The 14,399-nt window shown below is 41.4% G+C and overlaps 2 annotated features.

Moving 5' to 3' along the window:
- Positions 13,351-13,874: an enhancer, noted in NCBI's record as "H3K27ac-H3K4me1 hESC enhancer chr11:11713395-11713918 (GRCh37/hg19 assembly coordinates)". NCBI's record gives its function as "activates a minimal SCP1, AML or CMV promoter by ChIP-STARR-seq in primed H9 embryonic stem cells {active_cell/tissue: H9 hESC(primed)}" and the evidence as "EXISTENCE:reporter gene assay evidence [ECO:0000049][PMID:30033119]".
- Positions 13,875-14,399: an enhancer, noted in NCBI's record as "H3K27ac-H3K4me1 hESC enhancer chr11:11712870-11713394 (GRCh37/hg19 assembly coordinates)". NCBI's record gives its function as "activates a minimal SCP1, AML or CMV promoter by ChIP-STARR-seq in primed H9 embryonic stem cells {active_cell/tissue: H9 hESC(primed)}" and the evidence as "EXISTENCE:reporter gene assay evidence [ECO:0000049][PMID:30033119]".

Here is a 14,399-nt window from a genome sequence, read left to right as displayed (position 1 = left end):
CATAAGCAAGGGATCACATGATGGGGTCTGCTGGGTAGAGGTCTCCAAACCAGTTCATGGCGCTCATTTTCCAGTGAGAAAATTAGGATCAGAGGAGGTTTGTACCATTATTCTAAGATTCCTCAAGGAGGGCAACAGAAACAAATGTGAATCTCCAACCCAGGTGTAGCACGGGTAGGTCCACGCAGCCTCGCTCCCTGCTCTCCCTGGGTCTGAGCACAAGCTGTTGAGTGCTTGTTCTTAGGGGAGACTGGGAGCAGCTGATACATCTAAACAAAACTCCAGCAGGAGCTCCGGCTAATTGCTGATTCTTTCCTCCCTCCTTCCCTTTCTCCCTCCCTCCCTCCCTTCCTCCCTCCCTCCCTTCCTCCCTTCTTTCCATACTTATTGAGCGTGCAATATGTGCTAGGTGCTGTTCAAGACACTGAGTAGACCATACAGTGTGAACAAAATAGACACAATTCCATGTATCATGGAGTTGACAGTCGAGTAGGGGATATAGACCATAAATATGATATTATAAATTATGAAAAGTTCGATGGAGAAAAAGAACAGGGTGCCGTATGAAAAAATAACATGTTTTATGTTGGGTTTATGAGGAGGTAAAAGCTGACACCTGTGGAATAACAAGGAGCCAGTCACTTGGAATGATGGGAAGAACATTCCTAGGCTGAGGGAACGGTATGTGCTAAGTCTCCATGACAGGAAAATGCTTGAGGTTTCCACTCCAATTCAACATCTTCCATAGACATTCTCTGACTGCCTACTCTGTGGCAGGCTGTGTGCTACGGGATAAGAAGACAGATGAACAAGGCATGGTCTCTACATTTAAGGGACTTATAGCTCAGTGGAAAGATAGTGTATGAAGAAATAGATTGCAACAAACAAAGTTTAGCAGGACCCCCGAGGGAGCAAATTTAATTTTGCCCAGTGTATAAAAGGGTGTATATGTAGGGGGTGATCAGAGGCCTCTGCAGAGATTCAGAATTTGAATGATGACAGATGCTCTCTTTGACATCTGGAAGTAGACAGTGGAGAAAGTGCCACAGTTGCCAGGAACCACATGTGTAAAGGTGTGGAGGCATCAGAGTGCTTGGCATGCTTGGGGGATAAAGAGTTCCATGTGTCTGGGGCCTCAGATGGGGGCATGCACTATGATGGGGCTGTAGCTGGAGATAGTGTGGAACTGACAAATGAATGACGCTAGGGGCTCTCTCTGGGTTGCCTGGCAATGGAGTAGCTCAGATGGACAATTCTCTGCTCCCCAAAGAGGCTGCAATTCTCATGGGACCTGGATAGGCTCCAATCCTTCCTCAGTCAGAGTTAACTGTGCCTGAATTTAATTTTCCAAGGAGTGGCAGCTCCCAGGGCCTCTAGGTGCTAGTCAGCTGGCATTTATCAGCAATCCCCTATACACCCGCCACTTCAGCCTAGAGCCCTTGGTGCCTGAGTTCTAAATGTTTATTATTTCCCCACTTTCTGGGGCAAAGCCACTTTCACATTTGTTCCATATAAATAAAGAACAAAAAGGGGTGTAGAGCCCTCTGATGACAAATATAGATAGACACAGCTGTGTTGCAGCCCAAACATCCCTCTCTGCAGGGTGCCTAGAGAACCAGAGGCCAGATACACCTGTTGATTCTTTTTCCTGTGAGTTCCAGATGCACCAAGTGCTGCTTGCTTTGTCTTTCTCTTCTCATCCCAAATGGGACAGCAGGACAGGGGAGAAGGTGAAGATGAGTCTCTATGTGTTGGCGAGGCTAGGTGTAGAGGGTCTTGTGGACCATGCTTAGGAACTTGAACTTCATCCTTGGAAGATGAGGAGCCAGAAGAGGATTTCTGGTATGGGTGGACGATGATCAGATCTGTGTTTTTGAAAGATTTTATTGTTGGCTAACATGGAGGATGGATTATAAAAAAAAGATATTAAATGCTGGAGTTTACAGGAACATTGGTGTCCTGAGGACCAGGGGATTTGTCTCTTTTGTTCACTACTTTATTCCCAGGGTCTAGAACAGTGCTTTCATGGTTAGTACTCAATACATATTTGACAAATGGATAAGACAAGTCAGGACGCTCTTGCCCTGGAACAGGTGAGAGATGATGCTTTGACTTGGTCAGTGGCCTAGGGATGGAGATGAGTTAGCAATATTGAGACAATTTGGAGGAAAGGCTTGGGGTGGAGGAGCACAGCTGGAATATCAGCTAAAATTGGTTTACTTCTTCAGCCCAGTACCAAGCACAGAGAATTCATCAGCCAGGCACAGAGGTTAGGACTCTTGGGTGACTTGAGATTCTTTATTTTCCATGCTGTGTTCAGGTTCCTAGCCCAGGGAGTTGTTGGCTCCATGATGAGCATCTTTTCCAGGAAATCTGGGTTAAGTACCACCCTGCCCTTGGTGAACTCTGTTGCACTATGGCTCCCTGGTGCAGCCACCTAATGAAATTGTTAAGTTTGCTGTAGTGCAGGCTAGAAGAGCTACATTCAGAATTTCTTTCTATGACATATCTATTTATTATTATTATTATTATGTTTTGAGACAGGGTCTCGCTGTGTCACTTAGGCTGGAGTGCAGCTCACTGCAGCCTCAACCTTCCAGGCTCAAGCGATCCTCCCACCTCAGCCTCTTGAGTGGCTGGGACCACAGGCGTATGCCACCAGCCTGGCTAATTTTTGAATTTTTTGTAGAAATGGGATTTTGCTATGTTGCCCAGGCTGGTCTCAAAGTCCTTAGCTCAAGCAATCCACCAGCCTTGGCCTCCCAAATTGCTGGGATTACAGACATGAGCCACTGTACCTGGCTTATATTTTTCTATTTAAAATTGAAAGCCATATTGTTAAAACATTCTTCCTGGATGCTTCTAAAACTCAACCTCTCATCCTGCAAAGGTACCTTTATAATCCATGCGAAAGAATCTCCAAATCTAGTCTTTGTGTAGGCAGACTGTTATTCTAGGTTTTACTCATCTGTTTGGTTTTTGTGTTTTTCAGGGTGATTTTGGCTGGTCACTACCATCATGGCCTAGAGCACAGTATCCATCTTAGATAGCATCTCAGTCAGGTTCTTAGTTGCAAGCAACAGAAATAAATTTTGGTTAATGTAAACAGAAAAGGGATTTTAAAATATTGTTTATTGTGGTAAAATACACATAACGTAAAATTTGCAATTTAGCCATTTTTAAATGTATAATTCATTGGCATTAATTACATTCATAATGTTGTACAACCATCAATACTATTTTCAAGAAGTGTTTTATTACTCCAACAGAAACTGTACCAATTAAAAAGTAATTTCCCATGCCCCCATACCCTCATCCCCTGGTAACCTATATTCTACTTTTTCTATGAATTTGCTTATTTTAGATATTTTATATAAGTGGAATTATACAACATTTATTCTTTTGTATCTGGCTTACTTAGCATAATATCTTCAAGGTTTATCTGCGTTATAGCATGTATCAAAACTTCATTCCTTTCAATGACTGAATAATATTCCATTGTATGTGTATACCACATTTCTTTTTTATCTCAGAAAGGGAATTTTTAAAAGGCTATTTAGTAGGTTCTGGAGAAGGAATCCTGGAGCCTATATAGCCAGTGTGGGGCTGTGAGTGGTATGGGGGCTTTGGAATTTCAGCTGCACCCCCTACTGTGCGATCTTGGGTAAATTACTCTAAGCCTCAGTCTCTCATCTGTAAAATAGGGATGAAGAATGTTATGCAGATTATTTATTTATTTGAGACAATTTATGGAAATCACTTAGCATAAATTATGGCACCTGAACTAAAAAAGTGCTTATAAACGTTACCGATTATTATGGCTTGTAAAAATCATTGTTTATGCTCCTACTTTCTAATACAAAATCAGACAAGCAGAATTTTTTTGAAAACATCTCCTGACGAAAAAAATAAAACTAAGTTTTTTTTTGAACGTGTTTTCAATCGATTTTTTTTTCTTGGAGTTGGAACTTCTGAGGAAAGGAAAAAGGTTCTTCACCTGACGAAAGAGTGAAACTACCCAGGCCAGTCTAGCCTTATGCCCTCTTTAGACTGGGGGCAGCCTTAGGGCTTCCCTTTCCAAGTACAAGCCCGCATTCTGGAAACACAGAAAGGCCAGGTGGCTGAAGGCAAGGATTGATTAAAGAGAATAAGATATAGTTCCTTTTGCACACAAAGTCCTGTTGACTCTAACTGGATCCCTGAGGGTCTGGGCCCTTGTAGCGGGAGCCAATTATAGACTGGGAAGGTGTTATGATCCTTTGGAAGTAGATGGACCTGGATTCCAGTCCTGGCTCTGCCATTTACAGGTCAAGGTTCCAGTTTTATAGGGCTGAGAAAGGTGAGCTGTGGTCACTGCAGAGGAGTGGGTAGCACAGAGGAGAGCCACTGTCTGAGGGCACTGTGGACAGAACGGCCTATGTGAAGCCTGGAGCAAAACTGGCATACCAGACTGCAGTGCTATTTCTGGATAATTTGCTCCTCCCTCTGGCTCTGCGTGAATCAGCTCATGCATCCTTTGGTGTGGTCTTTCAGCGTCATCCTCAGCAAGGAAGGAGCAGGACAATTTTTCATTCATTACAGGCTGAGATCCAGTAACTCCGGGTAGAGTCTCAGGCTCAGTAGAGCAACCTTGAAATGTAGTTCTGCCTTCTGATTCTCAAAAATGTTTTATTTATTTGTGAAATTGATTGTTTTTTGGTGTAAACCTTGTTATAACAAAATGATCTTCACCCACAATTCAGATGCCCAACAAATCACACGTGTATGTTGCATTTCGACTTTGCTGTTGCCACTGACCAGCAAGGCTGTGGGGGTGCTGGCAGTACAGTTATAAGGCATTTTCTGAGGCTTATGGTGGGTACTCCTAATGGTTCTTACAGGATTAATTGTAATAGGACTTATAGGGCTGAGTTGTAATAATGACTATAAGAATGATGTTCTCTCATGCCATACAGATCACTTGACTCCATCACTTAATTCATTCTTTTCAAAAACATTTCGTGTCTGTCATGTGAAAGATTAGCCCCTATTTTACAAATGTTGACACTGGAACCCAGATATTGGCTAACAGACTGTCCATTTTGGGCCAGAATCCATATGTTCTGCCTTCTGATCCAGTGGTCTATTTATTTCTCCACTGTGAGCTGGGCAATGCGGGAATTCCAGATTTTTTTGATTTAGTAGTTTGTGATATGGTCCCAGAGAGGCCACTTGTCCTCCCTCCACCAGAAAAGGAGCAAATCTGTTGTCAACCTCTTGCTGTCTCCAAATTTCCAAAGAAGTAACTCAGCCAGAGTAGAAGCTTGAGTCTGGTTTGTTGGCAGTGGAGTGTACAGGTGGCTCCTTGCCTTGTGCCCCAGGGTAGCAGTAAATTGATATTTGCTGGTCTCCAAGCCTCTGGAAGAGACAGAAGAGGAGGGTTGGGAAAGTGACACTTTCTGTAAATAACCACACCTGGTTCTAAGAGCAGAAGGATTGGCATGTCCCTGTAGCCTCATCAATTACCATCAAACTTTTGCAAAGGGAGCCCCAGGGGAGAGAATCTCTTCACACTCTTATGATTATTTATAGACACCTCACCCTGTCCACACTCTGGGGGGGAATATGGTTTGCTTGGCAGCAGCCTCCTTCCAGATGTGTTTATATTCTTACAGGCCCAGTGGAATGCATCCTTCTGCCCCTGCATTACATGGAACAGAGGGGATGGCAGACACTGGGATATAGTGAAGATATGGAAGGGAAGGCATGAGGCAGGATCCCGAATTTCTCAGTTATGTGCATATATCTCCCAGCAAACACTGAATGAATAGCCACTTTGCTGCCAAAGAAGGCAATTCAGTGTAGCGGTTAAATGAACATGCTTTGCAAGCAGATGGGCCTGGATTCAAATCCCAGCTCTTCCATTGATGAGCTGTGTGGCTTCAGTTAAGTTAATTAATATATACCCAAAGGATTATAAATTTGCCTCCGTTTCCTTATCTGTAAAATGGGATAATAATACAGCCTCTTAGGGTTATTGTGAGGTTTGAATGCAAAGGCCTTAGCAGTGCCTGACACACAGTGGATTATTAGTATTATATGATGGCTATTCTTACAAGATGCCACTAGGTACTCTGTGGTGTGTGTGTGTGTGTGTGTGTGTGTGTGTGTGTGTGTGTGTGTGATTTTGATAAAAACAGGCCTGGAGAACAGAGATGATTCAGGCAGTACAGGCAGGGAATGTTCAGTGAAAAAGTCAGTGTTAAAACCTACAGAAGGAGAGCTCTCCATGGACTAGATAGGCCAGGTCAGAGGGGGCAGGTAAGAGGAAGGAAAGGTGACTGAGCTGCCTGAGTGTTTGAGGGATGTTATTGAACACGTCGGCAGGGTGCTCACTACCGTCAACCCAGCCATTATGACTGGGAGTTAGCAGAATGCCCTCGACTAGCTTTAGGAAAAGCCATTTTAGCTTGGGCTATCAGTGTTCAGCGGAAAGGTGTAGTAGCATCCTCTCCAGAAGGAGAGTTTGTTGATGTGCCACACTCTGAGGGGGGCATATGTTTAATAGCTAATCTGGCCCCTGGCAAAAGTGAGGCTGCCCAAAGTGACTAAAGAAAAAGATACATTTTGGGATGAGTGATCCGTGCTTAGTGGATTTTCCCACTCGTTTATTTGCTTTCAAAGGTCTACCATTATTTATACCCGAAGCATAATGATTACTCACTCTATGAATCTCTTGCTTTAGAAATTGTAAAGATAAATTTAAAAATTCACAAAATTTTAAGAAAATAGTATAATTAACCCCCACGTGCCCATAACCCAGCCAAAACAATAAACTCACAGCTACTTTTGTTTTATCTACACTCCCCACCAGATTAATTGAAATACCTCCACAATGTCATATCATTTCACTTGTGAATATTTGTGTGCATTTCTAAAAGAAAAGGATGTTAAAAAAAATCATAATAACATTATCACAATAAAAAAAGGACAATAATGTTTTAATATCATTAAATGTCCAGTGTTCAAATTTCTACAATATTTCATATTTTTTTCAGTTGGCTTCTTTGAATCAGGGTTTACATAAGATTCACACACTGTAACTGGTTGATATTTCTTAGTCTCTTAAATGTATAGTTTCCTCAGCCCTGTTTTTGTCCCCTTGTAATTCATTTGTTGAGGAGAGCAGGTCATTTTTTATTTTCTAGATAAGATTGCATCTCTATGGTGCCCTTTACCATGCTCCTTTGTCCTCTATATTTCCTATATAATGGTAGCTAGATCTAGTGACTCGGTCTGATTCAGCTGTACTTATTTACTTGTAAGTCTACATTACAAGTATTATCATGTACTTCCATCCACCAGCCTATAATGACTGGTTGTCTGTTTTTGTAGTGGAACAGCCATTGATAATCATTGCCAAGAGCCATAAATTCTGTCATCCCTTCTTCATTTATTGTATAGAATAGTTCTATAGAAATGCTTTTTTTATCTGACCAACCATCTGCTACTTTATAATATAATTTAATCAGGAAACACAGGTTAAATGTTTGATTCTTTCCCTGTATTTACCAGTATTTGGATTAGTGGGTTGGTTCCCTTCCATCCTCCAGAAGTGATAATTGAGATTTTTCTGTTTTATGGTATCATTAGGAACTCATGAATGGGAACGTATTTGATGTGTTGCAGTTGCAGTTATTATCCTTTTTGATGCTCAGATTTTCCCATGTCTGGCCAGTGGGAGCCTCTTTCCTGAGTTGCTTCCTGAGTCCTGACATGACCCTGACCCTGGTAGTCATTGACAGGTTTCCTGCTTTCTGGAAAGAAAAGATGTCCAGGCTTGGTTGTAGAAATACTTTTAAAAGATAAAATATATTATGAATTTATACTGATATTTTTAATTCAAATTTAGGATTACAAGACTTTGCTTAACTTTGATTTGATTTGGAATTTTTTCCTCTTATGCAGAGAATCTTGGTTCTTAATGACAAGAACATAGTTGCTTATTTGCTTTATTCTATTATATATGTATGCATTTAGAAACAACACCAATACTATCATCACTAAAAATAGTTACTATTTTTATTATTTGCAGTTCTTAGGTATATCTCACTAGAGATTACAATAGAGTTACTGTATTTTCCAAGCATTTAAAAGAATACACTTCTGAATCATTAAACAATCAACTCAATGCACAGTTAGGTTAATTTATTCTATATACCCAAAGGATTATAAATTGGGATTGCTGGGTCAAATGGTATTTCTAGTTCTAGATCCTTGAGGGATCGCCACACTGTCTTCCACAATGGTTGAACTAATTTACACTCCCACCAACAGTGTAAAAGTGTTCCTATTTCTCCACATCCTCTCCAGCATCTGTTGTTTCCTGAGTTTTTAATGATCGCCATTCTAACTGGTGTGAGATGGTATCTCATTGTGGTTTTGATTTGCATTTCTCTGATGAACAGTGATTATGAGCATTTTTTCATGTGTCTGTTGGCTGCATAGATGTCTTCTTTTGAGAAATGTCTGTTCATATCCTTTGCCCACTTTTTGATGGGGTTGTTTGTTTTTTCTTGTAAATTTGTTTGAGTTCTTTCTAGATTTTGGATATTAGCCTTTTGTCAGATGGGTAGATTGCAAAAATTTTCTCCCCTTCTGTAGGTTGCCTGTTCACTCTGATGGTAGTTTCTTTTGCCGTGCAGAAGCTCTTGAGTTTAATTAGATCCCATTTGTCAATTTTGGCTTTTGTTGCCATTGCTTTTGGTGTTTTAGTCATGAAGTCCTTGCCCATGCCTATGTCCTGAATGGTATTGCCTAGGTTTTCTTCTAGGGTTTTTATGGTTTCAGATATATCATTTAAGTCTTTAATCCATCTTGAAATAATTCTTGTATAAGGGTGTAAGGAAGGGTCCCAGTTTCAGCTTTCTACATCTGTCTAGCCAGTTTTCCCAGCACCATTTATTAAATAGGGAATCCTTTCCCCATTGCTTGTTTTTTTCAGGTTTGTCAAAGATCAGATGCTTGTAGATGCGTGGTGTTGTTTCTGAGGCCTCTGTTCTGTTCTATTGGTCTATCTCTCTGTTTTGGTACCAGTACCATGCTGTTTTGGTTACTGTAGCCTTGTAGTATAGTTTGAAGTCAGGTAGCGTGATGCCTCCAGCTTTGTTCTTTTGGCTTAGGACTGACTTGGCAATGTGGGCTCTTTTTTGGTTCCATATGAACTTTAAAGTAGTTTTTTCCAATTCTGTGAAGAAAGTCATTGGTAGCTTGATGGGGATGGCATTGAATCTATAAATTACCTTGGGCAGTATGGCCATTTTCTCGATATTGATTCTTCCTATCCATGAGCATGGAATGTTCTTCCATTTGTTTGTGTCCTCTTTCATTTCATTGAGCAGTGGTTTGTAGTTCTTCTTGAAGAAGTCCTTCATGTCCCTTGTAAGTTGGATTCCTAGGTATTTTATTCTCTTTGAAGCAATTGTGGATGGGAGTTCACTCATGATTTGGCTCTCTGTCTGTTATTGGTGTATAGGAATGCTTGTGAATTTTGCACATTGATTTTGTATCCTGAGACTTTGCTGAAGTTGCTTATCAGCTTACAGAAATATTCGGCTGAGATGATGGGGTTTTCTAAATATGCAATCGTGCCATCTGCAAAGAGGGACAATTTGACTTCCTCTTTTCCTAATTGAATACCCTTTATTTCTTTCTCTTGCTTGACTGCACTGGCCAGAACTTCCAACACTATGTTGAATAGGAGTGGTGAGAGAGGGCATCCTTGTATTGTGCCAGTTTTCAAAGGGAATGCTTCCAGTTTTTGCCCATTCAGTATGATATTGGCTGTACTTATTATTTTGAGCTCTTATTATAGCTCATTATTTTGAGACATGTTCCATCAATACCTAGTTTATTAAGAGTTTTTCACATGAAGGGCTGTTGAATTTTGTTGAAGGCCTTTTCTGCATCTATTGAGATAATCATGTGGTTTTTGTCATTGGTTCTGTGTATGTGAGGGATTGTGTTTATTGATTTGCGTATGTTGAACCAGCCTTGCATCCCAGGGATGAAGCCGATCTGATTGTGGTGGATAAGCTTTTTGATGTGCTGCTGGATTTGGTTTGCCAGTATTTTATTGAGGATTTTTGCATCAATGTTCATCAGGGATATTGGTCTAAAATTCTCTTTTTTTGTTGTGTCTCTGCCAGGCTTTGGTATCAGGATGATGTTGGCTTCATAAAATGAGTTAGGGAGGATTCCCTCTTTTTCTATTGATTGGAATAGTTTCAGAAGGAATGGTACCAGCTCCTCTTTCTACCTCTCGTAGAATTTGGCTGTGAATCCATCTGGTCCTGGACATTTTTTGGTTGGTAGGCTATTAACTATTGCCTCAATTTCAGAGCCTGTTATTGGTCTACTCAGAGATTCAACTTCTTCCTGGTTTAGTCTTGGGAGGTTGTAGGTTTCCAGGAATTTATCCATTTCTTCTAGATTTTCTAGTTTATTTGTGTAGGGATGTTTATAGTATTCTCTGATGGTAGTTTGTATTTCTGTGGGATTGGTGGTGATATCCCTTTATCATTTTTTACTGCATCTATTTGATTCCTCTCGCTTTTCTTCCTTATTATTCTTGCTAGCGGTCTATCAATTTTGTTGATCTTTTCAAAAAACCAGCTCCTGGATTCATTGATTTTTTGAAGGGTTTTTTGTGTCTCTCTTTTAGTTCTGCTCTAATCTTAGTTATTTCTTGCCTTCTGCTAGCTTTTGAATTTGTTTGCTCTTGCTTCTCTAGTTCTTTTTTTTTTTTTTTTTTTTTTTTTTGATGGAGTCTCACTCTGTCTCCCAGGCTGGAGTGCAGTGGTGTGATCTCGGCTCACTGCAAACTCTGTCTCCTGGGTTCATGCCATTCTCCTGCCTCAGCTTCCCAGGTAGCTGGGACTACAGGTGGCCACCACCATGCCCAGCTAATTTTTTGTATTTTTAGTAGAGATGAGGTTTCATCATGTTAGCCAGGATGGTCTTGATCTCCTGACCTTGTGATCTGCCCGCCTCAGCCTCTGAAAGTGCTAGGATTACAGGCGTGAGCCACTGTGCCCGGCCCTCTCTAGTTCTTTTAATTGTGATGTTAGGTTGTCGATTTTAGATCTTTCCTGCTTTCTCTTGTGGGCATTTAGTGCTATAAATTTCCCTCTACACACTGCTTTAAATGTGTCCCAGAGATTCTGGTACGTTGCGTCTTTGTTCTCATTGGTTTCAAAGAACATCTTTATTTCTGCCTTAATTTCATTGTTTACCCAGTAGTCATTCAGGAGCAAGTTGTTCAGTCTCCATGTAGTTGTGTGGTTTTGAGTGAGTTTCTTAATCCTGAATTCTAATTTGATTGCACTGTGGTCTGAGAGACAGTTTGTTGTGATTTCTGTTCTTTTACATTTGCTGAGGAGTGCTTTACTTCCAATTACGTGGTCAATTTTAGAATAAGTGCAATGTGGTGCTGAAAAGAATGTATATTTTGTTGATTTGGGGTAGAGAGTTCTGTAGATGTCTATTAGGTTTGGTTGGTGCAGAGCTGAGTTCAAGTCCTGGATATGCTTGTTAACCTTCTGTCTTGTTGATCTGTTTAATATTGACAGTGGGATGTTAAAGTCTCCCATTAATATTGTTTGGGAGTCTAAGTCTCTTTGTAGGTCTCTAAGGACTTGCTTTATGAAGCTAGGTGCTCCTGTATTGGGTGTATATATATTTAGGATAGTTAGCTCTTCTTGTTGAATTGATCCCTTTACCATTAGGTAATAGCCTTCTTTGTCTCTTTTGATCTTTGTTGGTTTAAAGTCTGTTTTATCAGTGACTAGAATTGCAACCCCTACTTTTTTTTTTTTTTTTTTGCTTTCTATTTGCTTGCTAGATCTTCATCCATCCCTTTATTTTGAGCCTGTGTGTCTTTGCATGTGAAATGGGTCTCCTGAATACAGAACACTGATGAGTCTTGACTCTTTATCCAATTTGCCAGTCTGTGTGTTTTAATTGGAATATTATTTAGCCCATTTACATTTAAGGTTAAATATGTGTGAATTTGATCCTGTCATGATGATGTTAGCTTGTTATTTTGCCTGTTAATTGATGCAGTTTCTTCATAGCATCGATGGTCTTTACAATTTGGCATGTGTTTGCAGTGGCTGGTACTGGTTGTTTCTTCCCATTAGTGCCTCCTTCAGGAGTTCTTGTGAGGCAGGCCTGGTGATAACAAAATCTCTCAGCATTTGCTTGTCTGTAAAGGATTTTATTTCTCCTTCACTTATGAAGCTTAGTTTGGCTGGATATGAAATTCTGGGTTGAAAATTCTTTTATTTAAGAATGTTAAATATTGGCCCTCACTCTCTTCGGGCTTGTAGGGTTTCTGCTGAGATCCGCTGTTAGTCTGATGGGCTTCCCTTTGTGTGTAACCCTACCTTTCTCTCTGGTTGCCCTTAACATTTTTTCCTTCATTTCAACCTTGGTGAATCTGACAATTATGTGTCTTGGGGTTGCTCTTCTCAAGGAGTATCTTTGTGGTGTTCTCTGTATTTCCTGAATTTGGATGTTGGCCTACCTTGCTAGGTTGGGGAAGTTTTCCTGGGTAATATCCTGAAGAGCGTTTTCCAACTTGGTTCCATTCTTCCCATCACTTTCAGGTACACTAATCAAATGTAGATTTGGTCTTTTCACATAGTCCCATATTTCTTGGAGGCTTTATTCATTTCTTTTTAATCTTTTTCTCTAACCTTGTCTTCTTGCTTTATTTCATTAATTTGATCTTCAGTCACTGACATCCTTTCTTCCACTTGATTGAATCGGCTATTGAAGCTTGTGCATGCATCATGAAGTTCTCGTGCCATGGTTTTCAGCTCCATCAGGCCATTTAAGGTCTTCTCTACACTGTTTATTCTAGTTAGCCATTTGTCTAACCTTTTTTTCAAGGTTTTTAGCTTCCTTGCAATGGGTTCGAACATGCTCCTTTAGCTTGGAGAAGTTTGTTATTTCCGACCTTCTGAAGCCTACTTCTGTCAACTCGTCAAAGTCATTCTCCATCCAGCTTTGTTCCATTGCTACTGAGGAGCTGCGATCCTTTGGAGGGGAAGAGATGCTCTGATTTTTAGAATTTTCAGCTTTTCTGCTCTGGTTTCTCCCCATCTTTGTGGTTTTTTCTACCTTTGGTCTTTGATGTTGGTGACCTAGAGATGGGGTTTTGTGTAGATATCCTTTTTGTTGATGTTGATGCTATTCCTTTCTGTTTGTTAGTTTTCCTTCTAACAGTCAGGTCCCTCAGCTGCACATCTGTTGGAGTTTGCTGGAGGTCCACACCAGACCCTGTTTGCCTGGGTGTCACCAGCAGAGGCTGCAGAACAGCAAATATTGCAGAACAGCAAATATTGCTGCCTGATCCTTCTTCTGGAAGCTTTGTCCCAGAGGGGCACCCGCCTATATGAGGTGTCAGTCAGCCCCTACTGGGAGGTGTCTCCCAGTTAGGCTATATGGGGTCAGGGACCCACTTGAGGAGGCAGTCTGTCTGTTCTTAGAGCTCACACGCTGTGTTGGGATAGCCACTGCTGTCTTCAGAGCTGTCAGACAGGGACGTTTAAGTCTGCAGAATTGTCTGCTGCCTTTTGTTCAGCTAAGCCCTGCCCACAGAGATGGAGTCTAGAGGCAGTAGGCCTTGTTGATCTGTGGCAGGCTCTGCCCAGTTTGAGCTTCCCAGCTGCTTTGTTTACCTACTAAAGCCTCAACAATGGTGGACGCCCCTCCCCCAGCCAGGCTGCCGCCTCACAGTTCAATCTCAGACTGCTGTGCTAGCAGTGAGGAAGGCTCCGTGGGTGTGAGAGCTGCAGAGCCAGGCACGGGAGAGAATCTCCTTGTCTGCCGGTTGCTAAGACCTTGGGAAAAGCGTAGTATTTGGGTGGGAGTGTCCCGTTTTTCCAGGTACAGTCTATCATGGCATCCCTTGGCTAGGAAAGGGAAATCCCCCAACCCCTTGTGCTTCCCAGGTAAGGCCATGCCCTGCCCTGCTTCAGCTCACCCTCTGTGGGCTGCACCCCCTGTCCAACCAGTCCCAATGAAATGAACCAGGTACCTCAGATGGAAATGCAGAAATCACCTGTCTTCTGCGTTGATCAAGCTGGGCGCTGCAGACCGCAGCTCTTCCTATTTGGCCATCTTGGAACTGATCCCTATCTTTTCTATCAGTGTTTCTTTAGGACAGGTTCCTGGAAGTGGGCTTCCTGGATCAAAAGGTCACAGTGCATATGTTATTTTGCTACGTATTGCCAAATTCTCCTTCATAGGACTTGTACCTTTCTTGTTCCTTCCAGCAATGACAGGAGTGCCTGTTGCTCAAAGCCTTGTCAAAAGAGTGTATTGCCAACCTTTTAAATTTTCATCATTGATTG

The sequence above is a fragment of the Homo sapiens genome, chromosome 11 (genome assembly GCF_000001405.40).
Source record: "Homo sapiens chromosome 11, GRCh38.p14 Primary Assembly".
NCBI classification, from domain to species: Eukaryota; Metazoa; Chordata; class Mammalia; order Primates; family Hominidae; genus Homo; species Homo sapiens.
This window is presented reverse-complemented; position numbering and strand designations above follow the sequence as displayed.